This window comes from Homo sapiens, chromosome 13, assembly GCF_000001405.40.
Source record: "Homo sapiens chromosome 13, GRCh38.p14 Primary Assembly".
NCBI lineage: Eukaryota > Metazoa > Chordata > Mammalia > Primates > Hominidae > Homo > Homo sapiens.
The window spans coordinates 94,482,143-94,501,453 of NC_000013.11; the positions used below are offsets into that span (position 1 = coordinate 94,482,143).

Sequence of the window (19,311 nt, forward strand, 5' to 3'; positions counted from 1 at the left end):
CATGGTGATGATCACGGAGCACAGGCTGAATGCAATGAGTCATGTGCAGTTGGATCACGTGTTAGTCTGTGGCTGGAACATTTTTCTTTTTTAATCATTTACCATGGATAGTTTGAGAACTAGCTTAAAAGATCCTCCATGATTTTTCCCTCGCCTGCCTCTCAATCTCTTCTTCTGGATGGCAGACTATTGCAATCACTATTATTCAAACATGCCCCCATTCATTTCCACCTTGGCCTTTGTCTTGCCATTCCCTCTGTCTGGAATAATCTTGCTCAGAGCCCTCAGCTTCTCAGAGAGGCCTTCCATGATATTTTAACACGTCTACAGCCAGCCACCTTCTCTCTACCACATTACCTTATTTTATTTTCTTCATAGCACTTATCACCATCTAAAGTTATCTGACTTATTGGTTAGGTGGCTGAAAGACTGTCTCATCTACTGGACTATAAGCTCCTTAACTCTGCTGTGTTTTTCCAACATGTGCAACAGTATTTGGCAAATAGAGACTACTTGATAAATAGTTGATGAATAAATATTCCCAATTCAAAACTGTATGTTCATCAAAAGGGCCTCATTATTATAGTGACTGGCTTTATACAAATTAAATGCTTTTATTTTGAATATATAAAACACTTAGGCTTATAATGACCACTATTATATTGGGGGTTTCATATTAGGTTTTATTAAACTGCTGCAAATGTTTGAAAACCACCAACCCAACATCACTACAACCCATGAACTCCCCCCTCAGTATTTCCAACAAAATATCACTAGTGAGGAGGTTCTCACAACATTTCAGGAACAGTTCTAAGGGTGAGGAAATTCTTCCTTTTCAATAAGTTTTTGGCCTGGCACAGTGGCTCATGCCTTGTAATCCCAACATTTTGGGAGGCCAAGGCAGGCAGATCACGTGAGCCCAGGAGTCTGAGATCAGCCTGGGCAACATGGTGAAACCCCATCTCTACTAAATATACAAAAATTAGCTGGGCATGGTGACATGCACCTGTAGTCCCATCTAGTAGGGAGGCTGAGGCAGGAGGATTTCTTGAGTCCAGGAGGTTGAGGCTACAAGTGAGCCGTGATTGCACCACTGCACTCCAGCCTGCAGAAAGGAGTGAGACCCTGTCTCAAATAAATAAACAAAAAAAAGTTTTTAACAGTAAGTATAATTTAAATGTAAATTTAAACATAAATGTTAAATAAAAATTTCCTTCCCCAATTCTTTCATCAAAAGCCTTTGGTAACCCAGTCAGGCTCCATAGACCGGGTACAGTCCATTTCCCACAGGCGTTTCTCCCTTTTTTTTTTTTCCAGACTAAATATTCTCCATTCCTTTTCATTTTCTTTCATATGACTTAGTTTGTTTTTTGTTTTTGAGACAGAGTCTCACTGTGTAACCCAGGCTGGAGTGCAGTGGTGCAATCTTGGCTCACTGCAATCTCCACCTCCCAGTTTAAGCAATTCTCCTACCTCTGCCTCTCGAGTACCTGGGACTACAGGCACCCACCACCACATCTGGCTAATTTTTGTATTTTCAGTAGAGACGAAGTTTCACCATGTTGGCCAGGCCGGTCTCAAACTCCTGACCTCAGGTGATCCTCCCACCTCGGCCTCCCAAAGTGCTGGGAGTTTACAGGTGTGAGCCACCGTGCCCGGCCCATATGACTTAGTTTTAAATCTCCCCATCAGCATGGTCTTTTTTACGGACAACACAGTTCACGATTTGACCTCTGAATGCAGGTTTCCCATAACTTAATTCAATGTTCCTGCTACGATCTAAGCAAAGATAACCGAAAAAGAATTACCTTGTAAGCTTTGCTAGACAGTCACATCACCTCATCAATTTTGTCTACATCCACTCAGGCTAACTCACGCTGCAGTTAAGACCTCAAAATGTTATTTGGCTTATAAAAGAAATGTTTATTTCTTATGCAGCTGCACATCCACCACATGTCAGCTGTGACTGTGCTGTACACTGTGTTCACTCCAGGACCCAGGGGGAAACAGCATCTTTTCATTCTTTTCATTCTGCTAATTTTGCGTCAAAGTAGAGGTCAGTGATGGGCCACTACTTGGAAGAGGTCCACCTTACTCACGTCTGCTCCCACCCCATTGGCAAAAAGCAAGTCCGCGGGCAAGACAGCTGCTCTCAAAGACAGGGGTTCTGTGAGGATGGCCCCTTTAGGGAGAGTCAAGAAGTATTTTATTTTTACTGCATTTGAAATCAACTTAAAGCCTTATGTCATTTTCATATAGCTTTCACAAGGCTGCCTTAAAGTCAGATGCCTCTCATATCCCCATCTGCTCTTCTATTCGTATGGAATTGCCTTTTGAGGTCTGTATTAGTTTGCTTTGGCTTCCATAACAAAATGCCATAGAGTAGATGGCTTAAACAACAGAAATGTACTTTCCCACAGTTCCAGAGGCTGAAAGTTCATGAGCAAGGCATGGGCAGGGTTGGATTCGTCTGTCAAGGCCTCTGTCCTCGGCTTGCAGAGAGCTTCCCTATTGCTGCCCCATGCCATGGTCTTTCCTCTCTGCACATGCACTTCTGGTGCCTTCTCATGTGTCTAAATTTCCTTTTTTTATACGAACACTGGTCAGATTGAGGCCCATCCTGACGACTTCATTTTTAACTTAATCTCCTCTGTAAAGGCCCTATTGCCAAATACAGTTATATTCTTGGGTGCTGCAAGTTGGGAATTGAATGTAGGAATTTTGGGGAGGATGCAGTTCAGCTCCTAACAGGGTGTAAATGAAAGGGTTTATTTTGCCTCTGTCCAATGTTGTCATATTAAATGGGTGTGATAAGCAATGGGATTTCTCTCATTCCTGCCTTTGTCCTAACTACACATTTGGTTGACCCGTCTTTATTGTCTTCGTAACCCAATTCATTGATGAAAATGACCGAATGTCAAGGTCCATGGCAGGACTTGAGACACGTCACTCAAACAAAAGCGTCTCACTCTGGCACTCTGCTGGGGGGCGGTGGGGGGGTGGCCACAAGAGGAACTTCAGGGGGATCTTTGAACATCCTGAAATTGTGAAGAAAATGTAGCATGGGTCTTTTTCTGTTAAGAAGATTCATAGATTTTGTTAGCTTCTCAAATGGATTCATGACCCTGCCCTTGAGACTTTAGCACAGGTAGAACCTTGGAGGGCTCTGTGAGAGAACTTAGAGACTCCGAGCATCATCAGTGTTTCCAAAGGATGTCATGGCCATTAACCACCAGTCTGCTTGTCCACAATGGAGGCACCTGTATAGTTCACTGCCTTTCTCCTAGAATGGCAGAGCCCCTGAGCTTTCCTGTACTCACCTGGTCTTAAAAGAAAAGCCTTAAATACTTAAAGGAAAAGGCTTAAACGAAGCTGCAATCCCATCAACCTTGCACAAACACAGTGTCTGGCACATAGGAAGCACTTTCAAAATAACTGTTGAGTAAATGAACCATCATCTATAGTATCCTCCCCAAATTCACAATCATTCCTAATAAAGGCAGGTCACTCTTTCTCTCACGGAAACACCCAGTTTGAAGTCCCATATCTTGAAGGAGAGCAGAGAAAACAAAATGGGACAGGAAGTAATAATACTAATGCTTGATAGGTGAGAAAGGGCTAAAAGTATTGATTATTTAGCCAAGAGAATTGCTAGGGAGTGACTGATTTTCAAAAAGATAAAGAGATTTCCTTTGGATTTGGAAGGATAAGGCTGCAGGTGATCTATACGTTGTGAAGTGCTCAATGTCATTGGGTTTGTGGTCTTTTTTAGTTCCTACGCGTTGCTCGATTGCATGATTTTAAAAGTAAGAAAGCAGCTTAATGTATTAAGTCCCTACTATGCTCCAGGCACTAAGCTAAGGGTGAGTATGTAATGTTTCTAGTTATTTATTCACTGGTTATTATCCTCATTTTACAGAAGAGAAAACAGAGGCTGCCAGACCTCGGGTAACAAGCTCTGTGACAGAGCTGTGTTTTCCTGACTCCAAAGTTGTGGTCTTTTCACCATGTCGAGTTGTCAAACTCATCATTTTCTCTGGGGAAGTCAGCACAGTGCCTCATACAAAGGGACTGATGGAAACTTACAATCTCTTATCTCCTACTCCATGCCAGGTACTATGCTAAGCTTGCTTTCCTTACCTTTTGTTATCTCATTTAAATTCCAAGAAACTGCTGCTTGAAATTTTAGTATTTCTAATTTAAGTGAATTGATTTAATATTGCTACCCTAGATGGAAGCCCTAAGCACGTCAGAATAGAATTAAGAAATCCTCATTCTGATGGAGGAGATTGATTGAAGTTGAGAATAAGGGTTGGGCTCCTCCTAGCCTTGCATTAACTAAATTACCCTTTAGTATTAAGCCATCAGCCTGCATTAGGGCATGATTTGGAAAAACATCCTGTGAAACTTGTAAGGTATTTTTAATATCATCAAACACATTTCCCAATGTCATTTTATGGGGATCCAGGGAGAGATTTCTTGCAGGCTTCAGTATCCAGGAAAGCTGTACTTCCCCATAGAAAGCAGCTTATCCAGGACTGTTGGACCATGTGAATCTTAGGATGGTGTTTCTTTCTTTACCTTGGCCAGTTATGAAGCTTGGAGCCAAATTTGCAGCCCCCACATCAAGCAACTGATTCACGCAGTATCTACTTTAATATTCTCCTTCCCTTATGTTCCTGGGTTCTGGGATTCTTATTTTATCCTTTTGCAAATTTATGTATTTCCCTAGCTTGTCTCAAATCCTTTGAGAAATAAGACAAACACACACACACACATTTCTGTGTAAGTGCAAAGGTAACAAACACACAGCCAAGTTGTTGTTTACAAAACAGGGCTTAGAGAAGAGTTCAAGAAGAATCCCTAAAAATTTGGTATAAGTGAATACAGACCTAAGGACATAAGCTAAGAAGATCTCAAATCATAAGCATGACTGTAATTAAACATTGCATTATTTGCAAAAGAGAAAGTCTTTGTTAGAAACTGAATAGCAGAATCCAAGAGGGGATATCTCATGGGTGTATTGAGACCATTGGTTACCAATGGAAGCCATCGAATCAAGGACTACTATAAGGAATGTTCTGAAAGCCAGTAAAGAGAGGCAGCTGTGTATCATACAGCTTAATAGTCTGAGAGTAGAAAAGTGCCTTATTAGAAAGCAATTCATTTTACTCTCTCTTTTTACAGCTGAGGCAAGACTAAGTGAAAAGGGATGTTCTGCATACTTTCATTTTGCATGCCGGCACCTAGCACCAACTTGCACATAAGAAGGACTCAATGTATGTTCATGACATACTGAATTAGATACCTTAGAGAATTTGTAAGTGGATGATGCAGGGCAGACATGCATAGCTTTGGAGCTAGGATGCCAGCCTATGCCTTCCTGTGCCAGTCTATGTGTTCAAAGGAGGAAGAAATGGCTCAAAGCCTGGGAAGCAATTGAAGAGAAAGGTAGATGTGTTAGAGCCATGGCTAAGATTAATACAGAGAAAACATATGCATCTTTCTCCTGCTTGCCAACGAGTTGCCTGCTCTTTACTCCTGTGCCTCTGAATGTGAAAATCCTCCCCGTTTTTTAGCCCCCTGCTCACCTTCCCTGTCTGATGGTTTTTGATCTATTCTTTGCTGCCTCATCATGGGGAAAAGAGATTATTTTTTTCCCTGTGACCAAGTTGTTTCCTAAATGCTGGACATCTGTCCTGATAAGAGTTTTGCTTTCTACATCTAAGAGCCTTTTTTCTTCTTGGTGGTATGAATTGTTCTTCAGAGGAATTAAGGGTTAGAAATGGGACGTGTGGTCTGTTATTTCAGTTGAGTGCATTTTTTTCATCTTGAATGCATTTTTTATAGTTCATCCTTAAGTCTGTGTTTATACACCAAACACTTTTTAATTTCAGATTTTGCATCATTTATCTTTATATTAATCTTAGTTATTTGCTATGCACACTGTGCCCTCTAATTCTTATTTTATCATTGTTTTTTATGCTTCATTCTGGTACATGAGTATTCAATTTGGATTTTTATGTGTACCCTTATAATTTAATGACTGATTTGGGTAAGCAATAGAGCTACTCCTTCTTCAAAATACAGTTCTATGGGAGGGAATCACTCTCTTCCTGCTCAATTCTGATCAAATCCAGAAAATACCACCTATACATTTGTAAGAGGTTGTATGGGCTGAAAAAATATATATATTTTTAGACAACTTTAGTACTAATGGATCTACCAGGGTTTATAGATGTACAATTTAGACTGTTCAGGGTCTAGAAGGATTTCCAAAATATGTTGTCTGCCAGGCACGGTGGCTCACACCTGTAATCTCGGCACTTTGGGAGGCTGAAGCAGGAGGATCACTTGAGCTCAGGAGTTTGAGACCAGCCTCGGCAACATGGCGTAACCTATTTCTACAAAAAATACAAAAATTAGCCAGGCGTGGTGGTGCATGCCTGTAGTCTCAGCTACTCAGGGAAGCTGAGATGGGAGAATAGCTTGAGCCCAAGAGGCAGAGGTTGCAATGAGCTGAGATCGCATCACTGGACTCCAGCCTGGGTGATACGGCCAGACCTTCTTGTCTAATATATACACACACACACACACACACACACACACACACACACACACACACACGCCATATATATACATACATATACACACACATATACACATACATACACACACCATATATATACATACATATACACACACATATGTACACATACATACACACACATACACACACAAACACACATATATATATAGTCAAGAGAAAAACATAAGGTATATAGCTATGAACTCACTATGTTTATGCTAACATGTACATGTGAGGGAGTGGGGGCAGGGAGTATGTCTGTGTCTGTGACTTGTCTGTGTCTATCTGCCCATCTGTGTGTGTCAATGTGTAGAATAAACACAAGAAACTGGTTGAGTGCTGTCTGTGGGAATGGGCCTAATGGGGTGAGGAACAGGAGCAGAAAGAACAATTATTTTCATTCTATATTTTTGTACATTTTGAATTTTGAACCATGCATGTATAGTACTTAGTTTAAAAATTTCGTTAATAAAAAAATTCAAGTTAAAAAAATTTGGAATGATGAGGACTTGTGAGGATGACATTACATAAAGGAGGAGTTTCCTGGAAGTATTAAAAAGAGTATAACCCAGTCAAAATCCCAGCAAGTTACTTTGTGAATAAGGACAAACAGTAGAGGTTTATATGGAGAGGCAAGAAACTTACCAGTTCTATGACCCTGGACAAGTGGTTATTCTCTCTCAGCCTCAGATTCCTCATCTGTAAACCCAAGATGAAGATATCTACTTAATAAAGCATAATTTTAAGGATTAGATATGGCATTGGATATAAATTGCCTAGCAGAATCTGGCACACAGTAGGTACTTAGCACATTTTTATTACTTCCATTAAACAATGCCTCAAATTTCTACACTGGCAAACCACTGGTCTGACCCATTATATTATTACTTGTTTGAAAAATTACTACCTTCATAATCAGTAGCCCATATGACCTCTATTTCAATGGACAGCCAGGAAGGGGTGAAAGATCTTGCCAGAGTACTGAAAAATCCTCTCCACTGAGAAAATTTTGATTCTAGGAATGATTAATACACACACACACACACACACACATATACACATGTCTAAGCATCTAATTATAAGTACTTCTAATAATTTTTTTCTGGAAACTAAATAAGTATTTATAACTCACACATAGAAGATATTCTTGTCCATAATGCAATATTACTACCCAGAAATGAAGTTGTTTTCTTCTTAGATTCTGCTTAGTCAAATGATGATACGCTATGTTTACAGCTATGCTATTCTGTTAGCCTTGGAACTTAGGAATCTCACTAATTATGACAAATATAGGTGGAGGCAAGGTTTAAAGAAGCCACAGAGAATGAATAAACCAGATAGGAGCCCTCTTACTAATTTCAAGAGCTGACAAAAATAAATGCTATCATTAAAAATAAGGAAAAATCTTTTTCAAAAATTTCTTGACCTGAATCTGGTGGTTTTACACCAAGTTCATTACTTTATCATTGCTGTCAAAAACCAACTAACCAAAGCTGGGCGCAGTGGCTCATGCCTGTAATCCCAGCACTTTGGGAGGCTGAGGTGAGTGGATCACCTGAGGTCAGGAGTTCTAGACCAGACTGACCAATATTGTATAATCCTGTCTCTACTAAAAATACAAAAATTAGCTGGGCATGGTGGTGCATGCCCATAGTCCCAGCTACTCATGAGGCTGAGGCAGGAGAACTGCTTAAATCTGGCAGGTAGAGGTTGCAGTGAGCCGAGATTGTGCCACTGCACTCTAGTCTGGGCGACAGAGCAAGACTCGGTCTCAAAAAAAAAAAAAAAAAAAAAAAAAAACAACTAACCATGGTGTCTGTGTCTGTCTGACATTTGCTTTAAAAATGGTTCTTCTCATTGAATCTCACCTGCACTCATTCAGTTACTTTTCATGGACCACGTGTGCATGCACACACACACATACACAAAGCTAAAAAAACCTCCAAACTTTCATAATAGAAAAGATATATGTACTTACAAATCATAGCAGACAGCTGCCTAGTAAATGTAAATTTTGTTGTAATGAATTTTTCATTTCTAAAAAGTATTCTAGTATAAGAAGGAAGACACACTGAAAAGTAGTAGAAAACAAGATAATTTCATAGAGGTTTCAGTTTACCTTCAATTATGAGTTTATAATATGTAATATTTTTGTAATCACAAGATCTATTGAATTCAGGAAAGTTACCTATTTATTTATGCCATGAAATGGATTTCACCTTGAGCACCAATGATTCAAAGGCCAGGTTGGAGCTCAGCAGAAGAGTATGTAATAATGGAGGGGTGAGCAACCTTCTTGTGGAAACATTTAGTCCTCACCGAAGACCGGAAAGAATACAAAGATGTCAGTGAACAAGAAAAGTCAGGGCGCTTTTAGGGACTGGGAACCATAGAGAGTAAAGAGTTCAGAGTAAAGCTTCCACAAACTGAGTGCCTCAAACAATAAAAATTTATCATCTCACGGTCCTGGGGCTAAAAGTCTAAGATCAAGGTGTCAGCAGAGCCATGCTCCCTTTGAAGTGATAGGGGCGGATCTTTTCCAGGCCTGTCTTTCAGCTTCTGGTAGTTTCTTGGCTTGTAATATAGAACTCCAATCTTAATATGATGTTCTTCTTGTGTTCAAGGCTCTGGGCCTGAATTTCCCCTTTTATGAAGACAACAATATATTAGATTAGGGGCCCATCCTACTCCAGTATGACCTCATCTTAATTAATTATTACCTGCAATGACCTGACTCCTAAATAAGGTCACATTCTGGGTTACTCAGGGTTTGGGCTTCAGCATATAAATTTGAGAAGGACACAATTCAACAGATAACAGATAATAAACGGTGAAACTGGGCATCAAAACTCAAATACTCATTCTCTTTTTACAACCAAGTCATCCTGAACACATCCTCAAACTTTTGGGATTAGAAGGAGAGTTGGTATGGGTCATGCTGTATGGAAGAGAAACTGAAGAGAAGTGGGTCACCATCATAAGACTTAGCTGCTTTCTGGTGACATGAAGAATTCTGCTTAATCTCACGGAAGTGCCAAATTGGGTGTAGGGGAGTCTACTTCTGCAAAGGTTAGCATTTGTCAATCAGTACTGGATCTCCTCTCAGAATTCTGCAGTTAGTCCTATGCATGGTCTCTGTGAACCATATTACCTCATAAATTTTAGATCTGGATGAGAAGTTAAAGATCATTTAGACCAATACTCTCAAGTGAGAAAATCAAAGCCCACTCAGAGTTTAGAATAACTCATTCATGACCATGGAGCCTCAGCATCCTGATTCATAGTGCAGTGCTCTTTTCTCTCACTGGACAACCAGGGGTGAGTAAAACATGAGATCTCTCTTACCTGTTATGGACACGTTTTTCTCCCCTCACCTTTGTCTCAAGCATCGCATTTGTAAAACTCACTCTTAGCTCATCGTTCTCCCAACTCAACAGTTAAAGGCAGATACATAGAAAGTGCTCAGTATTTATTGAATGAACTTATAAATGACAGCAGAGAAGCAGCGAGCCTTAAAGATAAACTTCAACTGAAATATCCAGGTGGCCTCTTGAATCACATGCCCCTCCCTCTCTACAGAGGGGTCCACAGAACTCTTTTGCTTCTTCTAAGTTGAAGGTGGTTGGGTCTTCTCCTCATAGATGTTTCCTCTGAACTAAGCTTGAGGTTCCCAGAATGGCAGCAGCTCCTCTTCCTGCAGGAGATTGGACACCTCTTTGTGTTCCAGGGCAACATGACTGGCTATGCCTGGGGGCTTCACTCCCTGCCTTCTGTTAATATTTATACCTAATATCTAACACAGTGCCTAGCACAAGTAACTGAATGATAGACCATGACTATTACTTGGACTACAGGATCCAAGTTAGTTGGGGATGGGAACTTATTCCAAATTACTTGCTAATGTCTTCCAAATCAAACCCCCAAATTTGAGGTTTAATATAATTTTTTTCACATTATTTATAAGAAACATTGATTTTAGAAAAACTGAAGAACACAAAGATGTACAGAAAAGAAAATGTAAATCACTCATGTTCTCACCATCAAGAAATTATTCTAATTAATCTTTGGGTGTTTATCATTCCAGATGAAAATATTCATTCCTTCAATAGCTTTTTAAAACCTAATTGGAATTATAGTATATATATTTTCATAGTCTATATTGACCCCTGATCGACGTACATATTGAAAATGCTTTTTCCAAATTTGCAGTTGTCAAAGTACAGAGGAAGGAAGTCTGAAATCTTTGCTCAATCAAAACATGGCAGTCATAGAGAATGGCAGCACCCAAGGCATCCATTGTGCTTGGAACGTTCATTGTATCCAATGGTGAAAAATGCTTCACATCTGTGCTCAAGACAAGAGAGACTCTTTTGCAACATGACCCCGAAGAAAAGAACTCTGTGGGCTATTTTCAGATCTAATATACTCTATAAGATGGTTTTTGATATTAGGGCACATCTCTAATTCCACATTATTAGCCATCATCCTAAGACTTGCCAGCTTCTCGAAATTTAGACTTCTACAGGATCCAAGGGAAATGCCTGCCCCCCACGACTTATGCTGAGTGAAAAAAAACCTGACAAAAATAGTACATATAATCATTTATATAAAATTCTAGAAAATGCAAACTAATCTTAAGTGACAGAAAGCAGATGAGTGTCGGCCAGAGGACAGAGTGGTAGGTATGGCTGTGAGAAAGGAATTCCCAAGGCATATGAGGACTATGACAGATAAACATTCATTACCTTGAGTGTGATGATGGTTTCACTGGTGAATTCTTAGGTGAAAAGTCATCCAATGGTAGGCTTGAAATATGTGCAGTATATTATACATCAGTTATACCTCAGTCAAGTTATGGTGACATGCACAAAATGACATGGACAGAATAAAATGTATATTGCTAAGTCTGAAAGGGCTACATACGATATGATTCCAACTACACAATATCCTGGGAACATCAAAACTGTGGAGACTGTAAAAAGATCAGTGGTTGCCAGAGGCTTGTAGGGAGGGAGGAAAAGATGAATAAGTGGAATGCAGCGGGTTTTTAGGGCAGTGAAACTATTCTGTGTGATACTGTAACAGTGAATGCATGTCATTATACATTTGTCAAATCCCACAGGGTGCACAACACAAAGAGTGAACCCTCATGTAAACTATGGGCCCAAGTTAATGATTGTATCAACAGTGGAAACAGTGGGGCAGTAAGAGGCTGTATGGGAACTCTTTCTACTTTCGGCTCAATTTTTGTAAAGCTAAAACTGCTCTAAAGAATAAAGGCTATTAATTTTTTTAAATGTTTAGAGATGCCAAAAGCTATAAAATTAGGAGATTCCACCTAAAAGTCTGGATCTCAAGCTCATCCCAAAAGACAAGAAGCTCCAGAAATCCTGCATTAAGCCCACTCATGGCTCCCCAGGATCTCACAGCTAGTGCTCCTCGTCCCCATACATTGCCACCTGGCCCTGCAGGCCTCACAGCTTTTAACATCTGCCTTCTGTGCTTGGCCTCCCCGATCCTGGCTCCTAGCCAGAGCCCAGGAAACAGTTTCCTTAGAGGGGCATTTTGATTGCTTTGTCACTATTCCCCAATCTGCATCCTTTCATCATTTTGTTTGTGCTCCTTAAGTCTATTTTAGGTGTAATCAGCCTCACTGATTTCACTAGGGGTTCTCTGAGACTAGTTTCTCCTCTATCTTCAGGGATTTCCCAGGCAGGGAACGCCTAATTGGTATTATTTGCTGATCTCCTCTTCCTTCACTCAGTTTTGTCTCATTCCTGCTGTATACCCATTCTCCTTGCAACAGCAAAATTAGGAAGTAAATGTGTGGAATTTTGTTTAACCCTTTACTCGCTAGCCTCCTGCAGGTCTTCCCTAGCACTAAGTTATCATTTACTCTGAAAACTTTCTATAATATAATGAAGGAATGATTCACTGCATTATAGAAAGTTTTTAAAGTGTTAAAGAAACAGAAGCAGAAAGTAATTAATCACTACTCCTTCACTCAGAGATAACCACAGCTTACATGTTGATATTTATACATTTAATCTTTATTCTGTGCATATACATAATTGAAACAAAATTATGATATTACATTCTGCATTATTTTTTCCATTTAACAATATGTTATGCATATTTTTTCATATGATTTTGAAGGGTTATAGAATACTCATTGTATAGTAGATAATTATGATGTCATAATTGATTTAATTTCCCTGTTTTTGAATATTTAGCATTATTTACAGCTTGTCACTTGTATTAATAATTCTGCAACAAACATCCTCGTCAATTAATCTTTGCCCTCCTCTATGATATTTTCCATGAGTTAAATTCCAAGAAGCAGACTGTTCAACTACATGCTTATTTATATTTTCTTTTTTTTTAAAACAGGGTCTGGCTCTGTCACTCAAGCTTGAGTGCAGTGGTGCAATCTTGGCTCACTACAACCTCTGCCTGCCAGGCTCAAGCCATCCTCCCAGCTCAGCCTCCTGAGTAGTTGGGAATACAGGCATGTGCCACCACACCTGGCTAATTTTTGTATATTTTGTGGAGACAGGGTTTCACCATGATGCCTGGGCTGGTTTCGAACTCCTGAGCTCAAGTAATCCACTCAGCTCGGCCTCTCCAAGGGCTGGGATTACAGGTGTGAGCCACCACAACCGGCCTTACATGCTTATTTTTAATGCTTTTGTTATATGTTCCCAAATTGCCCTCCAGAAAGAATGTACCCACTTCTACTCCCAAAAGCAGAGCGCCCAAGACATAATTTCATCTTTAAGCCAAAACTTCAAATAAAAAATGTATTCCATGTATCATCAAAGTTTAAATTTTAGTGAATGTAGGAGCACTTGTCAAAATGTAAGATGCAAAAATTCAAAGAGAAAAGAAGAATATAACATGCTACCTTTTTGGAAGATGTCATGACACTAATATTACAATATTTCTATTAAAATATTAATTTTTACCCTCTCTCCAACTGTATTAATCATTCCACAATTGTGAAGGATGTACTATCTCAAAGGGAGAGAGAGACATGGTTCAACTGTATAAGCTTTTTGGAGTAATAAGAAGTTGAACACAATAACTTCATATTTCAACTGTGAGGGTTTTCTTTTAAATCTGGTTATAAATAATTTGATATGGCACCCCCTTAGAATTCATGAAGGGATGGCTCTGCAGGGCTAGTGAAGCTGCATGGTAAGTCTGTTGCATAGAAGTCTATAGAGCAGGCTCTTCCCAGAAAGGAACAACGCGCCTCTGATCGTTGCCAATTGACTCTTCTCTGCCTTTCTCTGCCCTATTCATTGTGCCATCAGTATTCACTTATTGTCAACAACATGCTGATGTTACCCAGCCCTTTCTTCTGACCTCATTCTGAACCTTATAAAGTGTGATCCAGCTTAATCAACTCAGAGATTAAGAGCTGTAGTCTATACTTGTTTTTGGAATGGATCCTGGCATTATTTATTTTTATTTTTATTTTAAGATGGAGTCTCACTGTCACTGGGCTGGAGTACAGTGCCATGATCTTGGCTCACTGCAACCTCTGCCTCCTGGGTTGAAGGGATTCTCCTGCCTCAGCCTCCTAAATAGCTGGGATTACAGCCACACACCACCACACCCGGCTAATTTTTGTATTTTTAGTAAAGACAGGATTTCACCATGTTGGCCAGGCTGGTCTCCAACTCCTGGCCTCAAGTGATCTACCCACCTCGACTTCCCAAAATGCTAGGATTACAGGCATGAGCCACCGCACCCGGCCGGATTCTGTCATTATTAACATTATTAACATTTTCACTCATCTCAAAGAACTCACAGTGGCATGTACAGACCTTGTTGATCTTCAGGTATGGGCTGGTGGTAAGGGACATAATTTGGATATGCTAAGGCACAGAAAAATGAGACGTGAAGGAAGATATTTATGTGTGGTACAGTTTGCATTTAATAGGTTGAGCATCCCTTTTTAACTGCTAAAGCACTAGAACTGCAACATGCCTAACCTGCATGTTCACCATGGGAAATGCACAACAGCAGGCTGCAACATGCTCCTAGATACCAGGACTTCAGAGCACCATGGATATTCGGCTTCTGCAGGCTCTGGAAATAGTGTCTAGTGGGCTGTGAATACACCTGGAGCAGAGGAGAGAGAGGAAAGCTGCAGGCCTCAGTGCTCCTTGCTGTGCCCACACAAGTGCTGGACGTCCTTCAAGACTCACAGGGAACACGTTAAGAGTTGAACTAAATTGTGTCTCATAAATGTTCTTCAGTCGAGCCTCTGGGAAATCTGTGTTGGTTAATTTTATGTGTCAACTTGACTGGGCACCCAGACATTTGGTTAAACATTTTTCTGGATATTTCTGCGGGGTATTTTCTGGATGAAATTAACATTTAAATGGGTAGACCTTAAGTAAAGCAGACTGCTCTTCATAACGTAGGTGGGCCTCATCCAACCAGATGACGGCCTGAATAGATCAAAGAATGACCTCCCCTGAGCAGGAGGGAGTTCTGCCAGCAGACTGCTTTCAGACTTGAACGGTAACCCTTCCCTGAGTCTCCAGCCTGCCAGGCTACTCTGCAGATCTTGGACTTGTCAGCCTCCATAATCAAGTGATCCAATTCCTTAAAATAAATCTGTCTCTCTAGGTGAATAACAGTTGACCCTTGAACATCATGGGGTTAGGAGCACCAACTCCCCATGCAGTCTAAAATCCAAGTATAGCTTTTAACTCCCCCAAAACTTAACTACTAATAACCTACTGTTGACTGGAAGATGTACCAATAACATAAATAGTCAATGAACACATATTTTATATGTATTAGGCACTGTATTCTTACAATAAAGCAAACTACAGAAAATAAAATTTTACTTAAAAATCATGACGAAGAGAAATATATCTACTAATTAAGTGTAAGTGGGTCATCATAAAGGTCTTCATCCTCATCTTTGCATTGAGTAGGCTGAGGAGGAGGAGGAAGAAGAGGGGTTGGTCTTGCTGTCTCAGGGGTGGCAGAGGTGGAAGAGGTAGAGGGGATGGAAGGGGAGGCAGGAGAGGCAGGCATGCTCCATGTAACTTTTATCAAAAAAAACTCCATGTACAAATGGACCTGTGCAGTTCAAACCCATGTTGTTCAGGGGTCACCTATATGTGTGTGTGTGTGTGTACACACATGCATGCACATATACATCTTACTGGTTCAGTTTCCCTGGAGTACCTTAATATGTCTGCTCTGCACTTTTCAGTGGAGGATATTCTTAAATGCAAAGAACAAGCTACCTTTTGGAGGCCTAAGTAAGAGCTGCTGTCCTCAGGAAGCAAACTCAGAATCGAGGACAACAGCCAGACAGAATCCTAAACCTCTACTCCCTCAGGAAGGGAACAATCTTGGATGAGTGAAATCCCCAAAGTTGGTGTGTCAAGAATTGCATGTGGATAAAATATGTGAGGAAACCACTAGATGAAGCCCCCTGGCTACTCCATCAGTGAGTGAAAACAGGTAGACCAAGCATAATAAGAGGGACTTTTATAGACTTTCTCCTCAATCCCACAGTTAAAATTGTCAAAGAAGTGAACAAATAAATTAGAGCTGAGCAGAAAATCTTTAGGAGCTGTTATGGACTGAATATTTGCATCCCCTCTCCCTGCTCCAGATTCATACTGATGCCCTAATCCCAATGGGATAGCATTAGGAGGTGGAGCCTTTGGGAAATGATAAGGTCACAAGGGTGGAGCCCTCATGAATGGGGTTAGTGCCCTAATAAGAAAAGGCCAGAGAGAGCTTTCCTCTATAAACCAGGAAGAGGGCCTTCACCAGGAACCTGACCCAGCTAGCACACTAAACTCAACTTCCAGCTTCCAGACAGAACTGTGAGAAATCAACACTTGTTGTTGAAGCCACCCAGTTTACAGTAATTTGTTACAGCAGCCTGAACTATGACAGGAGCTGTGTACATTTGAGAGGTGAAGCCAACTGGACTTCCTGGGTCGAGTGGGGACTTGGAGAACTTTTCTGTCTAGCTAGAGGATTGTAAATGCACCAATCAGTGCTCTGTGTCTAGCTAAAGGATTGTAAATGTATCAATCAGCACTCTGTAAAAACACACCAATCATTGCTCTATGTCTAGCTAAAGGATTGTAAATGCACCAGTCAGCACTCTGTAAAAACACACCAATCATTGCTCTGTGTCCAGCTAAAGGATTGTAAATGCGCCAGTCAGCACTCTGTAAAATGGACCAATCAGCACTCTGTAAAATGGACCAATCAGCAGGAAGTGGGTGGGGCCAAATAAGGGAATAAAAGCTGGCCACCCCAGCCAGCAGTGGCACCCCATTCGGGTCCCCTTCCACACTGTGGAAGCTTTGTTCTTTCGCTTTTCACAATAAATCTTGCTGTTGCTCACTCTTTGGGTCCAAACCACCTGTAAGAGCTGTAACACTGGCTGCAGAGGTCTGCAGCTTCATTCTTGAAGTCAGCGAGACCACAAACCCACCAGAAGGAAGAAACTCCAGACACACCATCTTTAAGAGCTGTAACACTCACCGTGAAGGTCTGCGGCTTCATTTTTGAAGGCAGTGAGACCAAGAACCCACCAGAAGGAACCAATTCCAGACACACATTTAGCTTCCTGATTAAAACTTGGCATAAATATTTAGCATAAAGAAGACTAAAAGCATAAAGATATATGCTCCCATTCCCAAAGCAATAAAAGGACCAAAGGAGTGTGCATGAGAGTGAGTGTGTGTGTGTGTGTGCGTTCTCTCCAAAGCACCAAGCAGTGGCTGTTGATGGCAGTATAAAAGAATAATTTTCTCTTCAGGATGTTCAAAAGCAAACCTGGCAGCATGAATTAGATGGCCTAATTTTAAACATACAAAACACCTCTAGTTCTTAATGAACAAATAAGCAAAGTGCACCATCGGTGGCCTAGACACCATTTCAGTTTTACACTGGAATCAATAAGTTAGGAATGATTTGACTCCCAGAGCTAGCCTCAAGTCCAAGCCATGGAGAATATTAAACTGACCTCCCCTCATGACTCTGGCCAACCCTGTGTTCCAGCCCTTCACTCTCTCCATAGGAGAGGGCTGAACCCCCACCATGCTCTAACCGAAAGCACAGCTGGCCTTCCCTCTTCTCCTCAGCTTTATTGAGGTTATAACTGACAAACAAATATTGTATATATTTAAGGCATACAATAGGAAGTTTTAATATACCTATATGTTGTGAAATGATAATCAAGCTAATTAACATATCCATAACATATAGTTACCTTTTTTGTGTGTGAGAGAACAATTAAGATCTATTCTTTGGGCAAATTTCAAGTATACAATAGAGTATAGTTAAGTATAGTCACCGGGCTATACACTAGATCTCCAGAGCTTATTCATCCTACACATCTGAAGCTTTTACCCTTTCATCAACATCTCCCCATTTCCCTCACTTCCCATCCCTGACAACAACCTGTATTAGTCTGTTCTCATGCTGCCAACAAAGACATAGCCGAGACTGGGTAATTTATAAAGAAAAAGAGGTTTAATGGACTCACAGTTCCACGTGGCTGGGGAGGCCTCACAATCATGGCAGCAGGCAAGAGAGAAAATGAGAGCCAACAACAGGGGGAGCCCCTTAGAAAATCATCAAATCTCGTGAGACTTATTCACTACCATGAAAACAGTATGGGAGAAACCACTCCCATGATTCAATTATCTCCCACCTGGTCCCTCCCACAACATGTGGGAATTATGGGAGCTATAATTCAAAATGAGATTTGGGTGGGGATACAACCAAACCATATCACTACCATTCTGCTCTCTGCTTCTAAGAGTTTGATGTTTTTAGAACCCATATATAAGTGAGATCATGCAGATTTTGTCTGTCTATGCCTGGCTTATCTCACTTAGCATAATGTCATCCAGAGTCATCCATCCTGTTGCAAATGACAGAATCTCCTTGCTTTTAAGGATGAATAATATCCCATTGTGTACCACATTTTCTTTGTCCATTCAACCGTTTATGGACACTTAGCTTGTTTCCTTTTCTTGGCTATTAGAATAATGCTGCAGTAAACATTGCTCTTCACTTTGTAAATATATTTTCATTTTAAAAAATCATTCAGATAGGCAAACGGAACAAAAGCAGAATAGCACAATGCACCACTCTGTGACAACCCCATTAACATTTGGTGACGATCCTTCCAGACTTTTCTACCACTGCCATCCTCACACAGTGATTTTTAGTTTCTTTTTTTTCTAAATAATTGTTCTTTTATAGATTTTAAAAGAATTTGGCACTTTGGGAGGCTGAGGCGGGCAGATCACGAGGTCAGCAGATAGAGACCATCCTGGCTAACATGGTGAAACCCCATCTCTACTAAAAATACAAAAAAAAATTAGCTGGGCGTGGTGGCGGGCACCTGCAGTCCCAGCTACTCAGGAGGCTGAGGCAGGAGAATGGCGTGAACCCGGGAGGCGGAGCTTGCAGTGAACGGAGATCGCACCACTGCACTCCAGCCTGGGTGACAGAGCAAGACTCCGTCTCAAATAAATAAATAAATTAATTAATTAAAAATAAATAAAAGAATTTGGAAATGTTCATCTCTCTGAGCATTTATTTTCATTGTTTATAAAAAGTGGATGGTGTTCATAATACCTCTCTCTGATCAGGCTGTCGGAAAAATTAAAGAAGTTAGTGCCTCTAGTACATAAAAAGTAAGTTGTCCTTTC

General features: G+C 40.6%; 1 protein-coding gene across 6 annotated transcripts in view, besides 1 other annotated feature; it reads right to left on the minus strand.

Moving 5' to 3' along the window:
- DCT (dopachrome tautomerase) overlaps nucleotides 1-19,311 on the minus strand; it is a 112,596-nt gene that overhangs the window by 45,332 nt on the left and 47,953 nt on the right. For 2 of the 6 annotated variants that reach the window (NM_001322183.2, NM_001322184.2), the window contains exon 2: nucleotides 7,235-7,288. The exons of the other annotated variants lie outside the window; for them this stretch is intronic. The gene's annotated coding sequence lies outside the window, so the exon portion shown is untranslated. The remainder of the gene's footprint in view (nucleotides 1-7,234; nucleotides 7,289-19,311) is intronic. 6 annotated transcript variants of the gene reach the window in all.
- Nucleotides 9,277-10,476: an enhancer, noted in NCBI's record as "CDK7 strongly-dependent group 2 enhancer chr13:95143673-95144872 (GRCh37/hg19 assembly coordinates)". NCBI's record gives its function as "activates an origin of replication core promoter dependent on BRD2, BRD4, P300/CBP, MED14 and CDK7 cofactors, with strong dependence on CDK7, by STARR-seq in HCT116 cells {active_cell/tissue: HCT116}" and the evidence as "EXISTENCE:reporter gene assay evidence [ECO:0000049][PMID:35650434]".